The sequence below is a fragment of the Homo sapiens genome, chromosome 2 (genome assembly GCF_000001405.40).
Source record: "Homo sapiens chromosome 2, GRCh38.p14 Primary Assembly".
In the NCBI taxonomy this organism is placed as follows: Eukaryota; Metazoa; Chordata; class Mammalia; order Primates; family Hominidae; genus Homo; species Homo sapiens.
Genome location: NC_000002.12, coordinates 220,678,371 through 220,690,351, shown reverse-complemented (window position 1 = coordinate 220,690,351; position 11,981 = coordinate 220,678,371). Strand labels below are relative to the sequence as shown.

General features: G+C 40.0%; 1 annotated feature.

The window, feature by feature from the left end:
- Positions 2,789 to 3,083: an enhancer, noted in NCBI's record as "tiled region #1647; K562 Activating non-DNase unmatched - State 13:Ctcf". NCBI's record gives its function as "activates a minimal TATA promoter and a strong SV40 promoter by Sharpr-MPRA in K562 cells {active_cell/tissue: K562}" and the evidence as "EXISTENCE:reporter gene assay evidence [ECO:0000049][PMID:27701403]".

Genomic DNA, 11,981 nt, shown 5'->3' with positions numbered 1-11,981 from the left:
AGTCCAGTGGGAAAAATCACATGAATGCATAATTAGGATGCAGTTTGGCAAATGCTGGAGCAACATTCCATAAGAACACCAGAGAGTAGGGTTTTTTTCTTCAATGTCATATTGAGAAATGTTTTGTAACATAGGGCAGGGACCCCCAACCCCTGGACAGCAGACTGGTACTGGTCTGTGGCGTGTTAGTAACTGGGCCACATAGCAGAGGTAAGCATTACTATCTGAGCTCCTCCTCCTGTCAGATTAGCAGGGGGCAGTAGATTCTCACAGGAGTGCAAACCCTATTGTGACCTTCGCATCCAAGGGATCTAGGTTGTGCGCTCCTTATAAGAATCTAATGCCTGATGATCTGAGGAGGAGCAGTTTCATCCTGAAACCCACCCCCACTCCACACACACAACAGCCCTTGTCCAGGGAAAATTTGTCTTCCATGAAATTGGCCCCTGGTGCCAAAAAGTTTGGTGACCACTGACATAGGGGACCTGTGAACTGTGTTTTGAATTAGGACTTTATAAGGCAGAGGAGAGAAAGGAAAGGATGTTCCAGGAAGAGCAAACAACATGTGCAAATGCTCAGAGATGAAGCGGAAATTAGTATTAAAGGATTTACGGCGTGCTTAGGAAGGACTTCGCACTTCCCGGCAACCATTTGAAATTAGGCACCACAATGTGACTTTCTTTGGCCAATGATTCAAAATGGCCACTTCAAGGCAGAAGATCTTAAAAGCCTATCCTTGATTCACTACACACCCTTCCCTCTTCCTGAGGACAGGGCAGATAGTGGAGGCTCCGTAGCCTGGATCTCTAGGTGAGACATATGTAAGCACAGCCTCCTCAGGTTGCGAGATGGACATGTAGAACCAGTGAAAATAAACTTGTGTTGTTTTAAGCCACTGAGATTTGAGAAATTTCTTCTTGCCTCAGCATTAACCCAGTCATTCTGGATTAACACAGAAAATGGAAACTTGAAGGGGAGTACTATGAGACCACAATCCCAAACTCTATGACAGTGGCTTAGTGTTCAGGCAACAGGTGACACGGAAGCTATCACTGAAGGCAAACAAGGTGATGACCAACACAATACCACAGTGAAACCTTTAGTGAAATTGTCTCAAAAACCGCACAGTAGTCTGGGCAGCAGATTATGTACCTAATGCATTGGTAGCTTTAAGGGAAGAGATTGAAAACTGCTAGTATGTATCGGTTGCTGGTGGTTGCTTCAGAAGGTATATTACAGAAAAAGGGATAAGCCCAGAGAACAAATGAGAAATTTGCAATAAGGTGAAAGGAAATAGAGGGAGTCCATAAATTAGAGAACATTTAGAATTTGAAGTAGCATCTGTGTTTCATTCCTTAACAGCAAAAGATAAAACTGAAAAATCTTAGAGGAACAAAGGCAAGAACATGTAGCCTTTTCACAAAGGTAAATTTAGAGTACGGCCTTCACACCTACTGTTAAAATCACTGAAAGAATTAAGGGGTCTCAGATCAAAGGTCTCACCAAAGATGTGGTGTCCATTAAATCCACTCAATTGAACAAAAAGGAGGCTAAGTATGTAATTCTTCCACTAAAGCTTGATGGGCTCAGCAGAGCTTTAATGAAGCAGGAAGCGAAAGGTATGAGCATGAGAAAGCCAAAGAATGTCAGAATTTTGTCTCTAAAAGGACTGTGGTTGAGACAGAGCTCACTGTCAAGTATATAGGAAGCCAACTTAATTTTTGAGGGAGTTATACTACCAAAAGGATCATCAACTTACATTAAAATTGATTGACTGTTTGAAATTCCAAATGACCCAGGGACCCCCAATTGTCTGCAGGCAGCAAGTGTGGCAAGAAGACTGCTCAGTTTTCAGGTGGGCATATTCTTCGGATACCCACTTTGGATTTGAAGGAGAGTAATGGAGAGGAGGACTCTCCCAGAGGGCAGAACCAGGAGCCACAGAGATCCAAGGACAAGGGGGTTACTTCCAGGAAGTGAAAACAGTGCCTAATTAAAGGTAGTCCTCCTGTAATCCCAGCACTTTGGGAGGCCAAGGTGGGCAGATCACTTGAGCTCGGGAGTTCAGGACCAGCCTGGGCAATGTGGTGAAAACCTGTCTCTACTAAAAATACAAAAGTTAGTTGGGTGTGGTGGTGCATGCCTGTAGTCCCGGCTACTTGGGAGGCTGAGATGGGAGCTTGACCACCGGAAGTCAAGGTTTCAGTGAATAGAGATCGTGTCACTGCACTCCAGCCTGGGTGGCGGAGTGAAACCCTGTCTCAAAAAATAAAAATGTAAAGGTAGTCCTCAAAATACTTGAGAAATAAGAATTTAGAGTTGCTACAGCCAGTCCTATGTCTGCTGTGTGTGCCCCCATTCTTCTGTCTGAATGCGAGTCTTTATTTCAGTAGTCCTTTGGTTGCTCCATTTTGGGGTCCTGAGCATGTGGGGAGCATAACTGGCACTGGACTTACAGACTATTGCACCTCACCCCCTGCTGTGAAGACTTCCCATCCTTCCTGTCACCCAGAGATCCTGCACTTTGAGCTACATGCTGTGACCGAATGGCAATTTTGGGTTGTCTCACCCGAAAAAAAAAGGCTGAGCATATTTTGCACGTGCAAAGGACAGTGTACTATGTATTTCAGAACGGGATGGCTCCTTAATGCTCTTCACTAGCGTTTCCGGGTCCCCTTCATCCAGGCACGTGATACCATGGCATTGCTGCACCCCTTCACATTATTACTTGTTTCGGTCATGAGGATGTGAGCAAAAGATTTGTGTCTCGCTTTTGGGTAAAAACCAAAAAAAAATTTCTACTTTCTGGGTAAAGCCGGTGTATGATTCACCATGTTCCCTCCCTTCATGACCATGATCTGCAATATTTTAGATTGTCCTGCTTGGGCGGGCTGGGCCCCGGAGAGAGAACAGTGTAGAACAGAGCCCCCTGCTGACTCCAGATGGAAGTACAGCATGACTGAAATCCACCTTCCTCGTCGGAAGCCTCTCTACAGTTTGGGGGTTGTTGGTTACTACAATTTAATAACAATCCATCCTGAAGGACATGTACACTAAAATAAACTTCGTAAGGTGTAAGCACCAGGTATTAAAAGTTACAAGCATGGAAAGGGAGAAAATAGTCCAAAGAGAATACTGAATTTGTGGACATTAATTATCAACTAGCCTAGATCAAAGGCCTCCCCTAAGGTGGAGTCTAAAGTTGAATCTTTCAAATAATTAAAATGGACATCTATCAAAATAATACATATTTCAAGAATAATGACTTTTGGAAGTCTCAAATGTGGATAAATCTAAACATATTATGATATTTGAGGTGCTTTAATAGTCCTATTATATAATAGAGTATCTTTAAGGTAAGAAAAATATTTTAGTTGCTTCCCAATAAAAAAGGAAGTAAAACTCAAATGCATTAAATCCATGATTATATAATTAACACCGTTAAATAGGTATATACCAGGAAAATATGCTACTTTTATGTGCCATACTATATGATCTTTTTAACTCTTCAGAGATCTTTAGTAAAGTGCTTGCTGATGTTGATTTAAAACATGATTTGGGCTCTGAGGACAAACCAAAACATTAGTTTGGTGATATTACATATTTCAGATTTGATGTCCTGCCACTCTAGAAATACTCTGAATTTATAAAAGCAGGTTGTTATGTCTAAGATTTGGCACTTATCTGTGAAAAGGGAAGGGAAATTTGTTCAGTTTAAGGAGGAAATACCATAATCAGTGCCCTGGAGAACAGCTATTTAAATTGAGTGCTTTATTATGAAATCATGGGTATTTAGCAGAATTATATCCAGATAGCTTTTTTATGTTCCTTTCAACCAGGCAGAAATTCCTTCTCCATGGGAAAATTGAAAATAGGGTATTGACAAATTGTGGAAATAATAAAGAATTCTGTGTAACATCATGAGTTTTTTTTCTGGGCGGGGGGTGGCGAGTGAGGAGGCAGGGGATCTTTGGTTTATTATCTCAGAAAATGGGTCAAGGCACAGGTGGGATCTATGCTTCCTTTCACTTTCTTTAAATCCTGGGCTTTCTGGGAGCCTTAAGAAATTTGTCTTTATGTTCCAACTTTGCTATTCTTAGGTGAGAAATGTTGCAGAAAAATGCTTATTTTATTTTATTTTTTTTACATTGCTCAAAAACTTCACTTTGGCTCATAATGTCGTATGTGCACTTTTTGTCGTATTGTGACTACACCTTTTAAACTCCCAATTTACCAGGGGATGTGTTGTTCTTGATTCACTCACTGATAAGTGAACATCAGAATGCTAACAAAGTGGGGGGCCCGCAGGGGAGCCGCTGTGACCGTAACCCCGATGAAACACAAAGCAGGAGGAAATTGAAAATCGTGTGTGAGTGTGTGTGTGTGTGTGCGTGTGCACATGGCTGTGTGCCTGTGTGTGTACGTGTCTGAGAGACAGGCAATATTCCCGCATTAAGTCAAGAGAGGCAGAGTGGTGATTTCTATTGAGGAAACCAGAAGGAGCTCTGGAAAAATGTCATATCAAGCCTAATGCTCTGCAAATGTAGAGAACTGGCATCTTTTTTCTAAGGGCAGTACATTATGACATTTAGAGCTAAAATTGTAAAATTATGAAAAACATTTTTACATGCTTGGCACACCGTAAGTGTTCAATAACTATTTTCAATTTATAATAATGATGACTGTAGCACATATTTCATTTATGTGAATACACAGTGATAATGGAGACTCTGGGATTCTGCTACGCAACCCTAGCCCCATCCTCCCCTCACACATATACACATCCCAGGGAAATTATTATGGATGAAGTAATCTGGACTGGATGCTTGGCCAGTCAGTGAGTTCTGTATTGTCAATCCTTGACGTTTTCTACATTCAAGTAGAATGGAGATAGTCATTCACTAGGTGGAAAGAAGGATACAAGGGGATTTGATGCGGGAGAAGAGCACTCCACCTTAAGCTGTCACAGAGGGCTGACAAGGAAGAGAATAGTGCAACATGAGGTGGGACCACCACTGAGGTCGATGGCTGGGAGCTAGAGACATTCAGCTTTAAGCTGGCTAGGGACATGTATCAGACAATGATCAGCATGTCACAAAAGCTGCCACGGACTGGTCAGGCCCTACCAGGAACCCTAGAATTGTCTAGGACACTGGGGATGGGAGCAACTGCGAAGTCAGTCTGAATTCAGAGAGATAAAATACTGAGTTTATGTAAGAAAGATCTTTTCCTTCCAGGGGACAAGTGGAGCCAAGATGATGCCAGAAAGAAAGGTTGATGGTGGTCAGACCAAATGACAAAGATCTAGGGAGACCTGAGGGTCCTTTCCGATCTGGAAAAGGAGTTAACTCAAATCTAACACCTGGTACCTCACAGACACCTGAATGTATTTAGCCACAAGTGTCTTTGTTTTGCTTCTGTTTCCCCCAATTTAGTTTCTATGACTTAGTGACTCAGGCTTTTAAACCTTCAGAATGATGATGGATGTGATAGTTGGGTCAGAAGAAACTAAAGCTTTTTCACACCTCTCCCTAGTTCCATCCCATCTCTCTGCCTCCTTTGGACTTTCTGCCATGCCATTATTTGGCCAGTGTGGGGAAGGCGATACCTCAGATTCAAATTTCCTTTCCAATTGAGAGTTCACTGAATACCTGGTGTGTTTTAGGTGGCTGGGGCGCTTGATGCTAATATGCTCACACAGTAACTTCTAGGCAAGATGCTAGTGCTTTAATAGCAATTTCAGGGGACAGTGCCTTCCCCACCTCAATACATTCAATTATGGATGTTAGATATTTGGGCACAGTTATTTATTTTAACGTTCCATAAATATCAACATGCAGCCGTCTACCTACTCCACCCGCCATAGCCGTAGAGACATGCTTCATGGCTTTGTTCTGAAGTTCCCTAATTGATCTTCCGAACTTGTTCTGGACATTAATCTTTTTGGGGATTGATGATCAGGGCTTTATGTGAGTCTCTTGAATATTGTCATTCAGAGAAACCCTGTGCGTTTAGACTCTAGTCTTGGGCTCAGATTGTTTTCCACAGATGCCATTCTGGTGTTAAAGTAACCCATGGAAACATATGCAAAGTAAGTGAAGCCAACCAAAACGTTATTTTTTTAACTGACAGGTGAAAAAACAGGAAATAATCTTAAAAGTCTAAATTAGTATTTTAATACCATGTACTGTTTCGTTTTGTCAGGATAAAGTCCAACTAGTTTGGCAAAGCCCATTTAAGGCTCTTAACAATATTGCCCACATATTCCCCAGGGCATTTTTCCCAACTGGTTTCTTCAATCCAGGTCCACCCGACTCCTCACCATTCCTCAAAGGTAAATGTCCCTTTACAAGCCATTCTGGGCCCTGGCCATGCCATCTCTGTCCCTAGAATAAACTTTCTTCTTTTTTTTTTTTTTTCCTTAAGAAATTCCTACTTCTTCTCTAGATTTAAAACCAATGCCTCCTCTTTACAGGCTTTGCTTGGTCTACTTGAGTTGTTCTTTCTCCCAAACTTCTACTGTCTTCATCCCTAACTTGATTACATTATTTATGAAAATATATTGTGGGTATCTATTTACATGAACGTCTATCCTGTGTGCTCCCAGTGAGAAGGGACTCTTGTTTTATTCATTTTTGTAGCTTTAGCACCTAACAGTGTTGTTTGCCCTAGAAAAGAAACTTAATAAATGTTTGGGGAATGAATGACTAAAAATAAGTCCTAAAACGTATAACGCAGTCTTGTTAATAGGAAACATTTGTCTTGACACATGGGATAAGGTACAACACAGGACATGAGAGAAGGAAAAAGAGGAATAGAATAATTCTGTTATAAAATATCCTTGTTAAATAAGCCACAGGGTATTTAAAACTGTGAAACATTAGACACATTTTACTTAAAAAAAAAAAAACCCTTTACTATAAATTATTACTTGCCTCTTGAATAAGAAACACAATTCCAGCCAGGCACGGTGGCTCGTACCTGTAATCCCAGCACTTTGGGAGGCCAAGGCGGGTGGATCACCTGAGGTCAGGAGTTTGAGACCAGCCTGGCCAACTTGGCAAAACCCTGTCTCTACTAAAAAAGTACAAAAATTAGCAGGGTGTGGTGGCGCATGCCTGTAATCCCAGCTACTCTGGAGGCTGAGACAGGAGAATCTCTTGAACCTGGGAGGCGGAGGTTGCAGTGAGCCAAGATCGCGCCACTACACTCCAGTCTGAGCAACAAAAGTGAGACTCCATCTCAAAAAAAAAAAAAGAAAGAAAGAAACACAATACAATTCCTAAAATATGACTATCAATTATCGAGCAATCAGAATTTTAAAATTACATTTAACCCACAAGCTGGGAGATGCCTAAGTAGGTGGAATTCATTGAGCTCTGAATAAAATTGGCATGCCCTGATTTTCTGACACTAAGGTGCTGAAATGTGCTGTCAGGTATTAACATGTTTGTTGATGGTAACTTGGCTTAGCAGGATAGAAACTCCAGTCTAAGTTTTATGATTACATTTTCATTACAAAACACAGATCTATATCTAAGGCAGCTTATTGCCTGGAGTTATTAGTCATACGCTGGTACAATGCTTGACTGCTGTTATCCCTCTTCAATTGTAACAGTGGAGCTTTGCTTGAGTATTCATTTGGTAAACAGTTTAGCCTCTGTCCACAATCCCAAAGTGACAAGTGAATGCCAGTAAGAGTCAGTTAAACCAGATGCTGTGTATTGTTGAATTAAAAAGCCATTTAACTGTTGTACAACTTTTAAAAGTTTTTTTTTAGTGTGCAGTATATATAAACTCCAACATATAATAGTTTATATCCAAGTCAAGAGTATTATTTTGCTATCCTTTATATGTTGAATTGATCAATCCTGCTCCTTGCAAACTCTTTTAAAAATATTTAAAACCAATTATAATAAAAATTTAAGTCAGATCTGTAAATATTAAGTAATAATTATGGTGATAAGAATATTTCAATCATCCTTAATTTAATCGATGAAAATAATGAAGAATAAAAAGGGGGCTGGGCATAGTAGCTCATGCCTGTAATCCGAGCACTTTGAGAGGCTGAGGTGGATGGATCACTTGAGGCCAGGAGTTTGAGGCCAGCCTGGGAAACATGGTGAAAACCTGTCTCTATAAAAAATATAAAATTAGTCAGGTGCGGTGGCCTGCGCCTGTAATCCCAGTTACTTGGGAGACTGAGGCATGAGAATTGCTATGAGAATTGCTTGAACCAGGGAGGTGGAGGTTGCAGTGAGCCAAGATCTTGCCACTGCACTCCAGCCTAGGCAGCAGAGTGGGACTATCTCCAAAAAAGAAAAGAAAAGAAAAGAAAAGGAAAGAAAAGAAAAGAAAAAAGAAAAAGAAAAAAAAGTGTTAAAATTTGGATAATGTTCACTTCTTATCCCACCCTCCAACAACAACAACAACAAAAAGCCCAAAATGACCCTTTAATGACATTTGTACTTTATAGCAGGGGATTAAAAAAATGATAGTGGAATTATAAAAACAGTGCAAACAGTGCAAAGACTTCTTAAAGTCCTCAGAGTCACTGACAAATGCCTGCACTCATTTCCACAAGCTGATTTTTGAAGTGAATTATCAAGGAAGGCCACCCTGGTTCTTGAAATGTGTCTTAATAAAAGAACACATTTTTCTTTCTCTAGCGTGATCATTGCACTATTGATTTGACTACTTCCTGTTTGAATGTTCCTTTAGATCACGCAGTCCATTGAATTTTCACATCAGAATATTTATCTCAGAATGGCTCAGAACATTAAATGAACAATTTTCAATCCAGATTATTTTCTCCCTACTGCAAAAATGCACTTTGGCAAAGACAGAAAAGCTCAGTTAATTTCTAATGTATAATTTCTCCACTGTCTCACTCTTCAATATGGAAAGAAACACTTTATGTAGACCAAGGTTATATGTTTATAGGAAAGAAAAAAAAATCCTTCTCTTATGCCAAGATTGAGTTGCAACCGCCAATTAGAGGCCAAGTTGGTAGAGCGCTCCTCTGGCTCTGTTAATGCCTATTGACCACTGTTCATTGCAGTAGATTGTAATAATTAGTGCCATAAGCATAAATACGAAAATGAGGGGATTGTACTAGGTGATCTCTGAGGTCCCTTCCAGCATTAGAATTCTAAAAGTTGGTGAGCCTAAAATTGCTAATGTGTTTCTGAATGTACCCAATTTATGCCTAGAGACAAGTTGTTCATTTGAAAGACGAATTTATTAGTTTAGCTCAGAAATACAAGCTTAAATAAAAAGTAAGTGCTGGTTAAACACTAATAATAATAATAAATATGTGGGTTTTTTTTTTTTGAGACGGAGTCTCGCTCTGTCGCCCAGACTGGAGTGCAGTGGCGGGATCTCGGCTCACTGCAAGCTCCGCCTCCCGGGCTCACGCCATTCTCCTGCCTCAGCCTCCCGAGTAGCTGGGACTACAGGCGCCCGCCACTACGCCCGGCTAATTTTTTGTATTTTTAGTAGAGACGGGGTTTCACCGTTTTAGCCGGGATGGTCTCGATCTCCTGACCTCGTGATCCGCCCGCCTCGGCCTCCCAAAGTGCTGGGATTACAGGCGTGAGCCACCGCGCCCGGCCAAATATGTGGTTTTACAGTATTTCACCTTTTACAAAGTTGTGTTTAATTCACAACCACATTGTGAAGAAGTTCTATGACTAGGATTTTCTCACATCTTTGGCAAATTTGTGCAAAATTCGGTATTACTGAACCATTCTTGGTTTTCTTACTTTGTCACAGATTCTAAGGCATCTTCATTAGGACTGGGGTGTCCAGGGAATGGAGGACAGAGAAGGACCTATATTCACCTAAGCCTGGAAGCTCCATGAAGGCAAGGACTGTCTCTTATTTGTCTTTATACCCTTAATATCTGATCCAGTGCCCTATTAACATTATACTCCAGTAAAGGAAAACAAACCATGCATATATATGTAATATTTCAAGCCGTAGTAAGCACTGTGAAGAAAAGTAAAGAAGATTAAGAGACAGTATTGGCAGGATATTTTAGATAGAGAAGGAATCTTTGAGGGAGTGCCCTTTGGGAGAGCAGAATAAGAAGTTGTATTTAGGGAACTGTTTTTCAGACATAGGGAAAAAAAAAAAAATGACACAAGGACTCTGAGGCCAGAGTGTGATCAGCGTGTTTGAAGGACAGCAATGATTTCCTGTGGCTAAAGTTGGAAGAGAGAGACAGAGTCTTAAGAGATGATAACATTGAGGTAGTGGTTTGAAGGTCATTGATTAGGCAAGAAAAACAGTAGTTAAAGCCACTTTCATATATAACTATGAAGGGTTAAAAATGTATTAAAAACAAGTACAATTGGGTATCTTGTCACTAGTTTGACTTAGGAACCCTACTTCTTTAAATCTCTAGGGTTTTTTTGTATTTTTTCCCCCCCTGAAGCTTGGCACTTACCCAACTCATAGTTTTCTAATAATTTCTAATAATTCTATAATAATATTCTAATTTCCAATAATTTCTAATAATAATTTACCTTTTCCACAAACCCACACTACTCACTCAGAGAATTAAGTTTCCAGAACCTAACCTTTCAAGTTCCTATTTTCTTCCTTTTTTTTCTCACCAATAGCTCTGGACTTTCTTTTAAAGATGGTGCAGTGGGCCAGGCATGGTGGCTTATGCCTATAACACCAGCACTTTGGGAGACCAAAGAGGGAGGCTCACTTGAGGCCAGGAAGTCGAGGTTGCAGTGAGCTATGATCACACCAACACACTCCAGCCTGGGCAACAGAGCGAGACCCTGTCTCTAAAAACAGTAATAATAATAATAACATTAATAAAATAAAATAAAGATGGTTCACTGAAGAAGGCCTCTGGATATAAGCCAACACTCTCCAAATGATGTTTCGCTGAATACCATTTCTGAAATAGTTAATGGGTGTGATGTGGTCAAATAAATTTCTGAAACGTTATATGCTCTATTTCTTTTCAAAATTTTACAATGCATATAGACAAATGATAAACTCTCTTTCTGTTTATAAAAAACAAACCCAGCATTTTCTAAATATATTTTACCCTGATGCTTTGACTTTTCCCTGAAAATTCATTAATAGTATATGCTCCAGCTATCCCTGAGCCCAAATTAATGCCACCTCCAACCTATTCTCAATGCTATCTCTCAGTGCCCAATTCCATTCCATCCACCTATCTGTGCATTTATTTTTGTAATTGGACTAGGCATTGGGTATGACACATGGACAAATACATAGTCCTTATCTTGAATTCTTCCACTCTAATGAAGGAGACAGCCACATAAAGGGATAATTCAAATTTAATATGATAAATGCAGTGGCAGAGATATGCATGGATTATTAAAGAAGCTCAGAGTAGAGGGTATGTAATAATACAAACTATTGTCTAAACTGCCAGACTCCTTTTATTTTGAAGTCATATAACCAAAGATTAGAAGTGTGTTCCAAAACAAACAACAGCAACAGGTTTCTCTACAATCATATTGGATTTTTATTTTATTTGAAAATATTTTAACCATAAAAAAATGACTTTCGGTACATTTTAGGACTTTGCCTCTCATGGTAATCCTACTCAAAGTCAGAAGGGAACATATGGTGCCAGAGTGCCCTTCTAGAAATTCCAAGATGACATTGAAAAGCAATTTCAGATTCAATTTAGACAAAGGTCCTGATCAGCATGCTGCCAAGAGGAAGAACACAGTGGGCTCTGACTCCACCCCAGACTACCTTTCTGAGGTTCCTGTGCAATTCACTGGTCCCCATGCTAATCCTAAGGAGTTCACTTATTACAGTATAAAATAATCCTTCCAGAGAACACTTTTTTTTTAACCATTCACTTGAGTTGTTGAATGCTTAAATACCTGCCCTGATGACATATGTTTTATTTTTAGTTTATGATAAATACAGCATTCTGTTTGAATTTTTTTTAACATCATATATAATGGCTAGAAAAA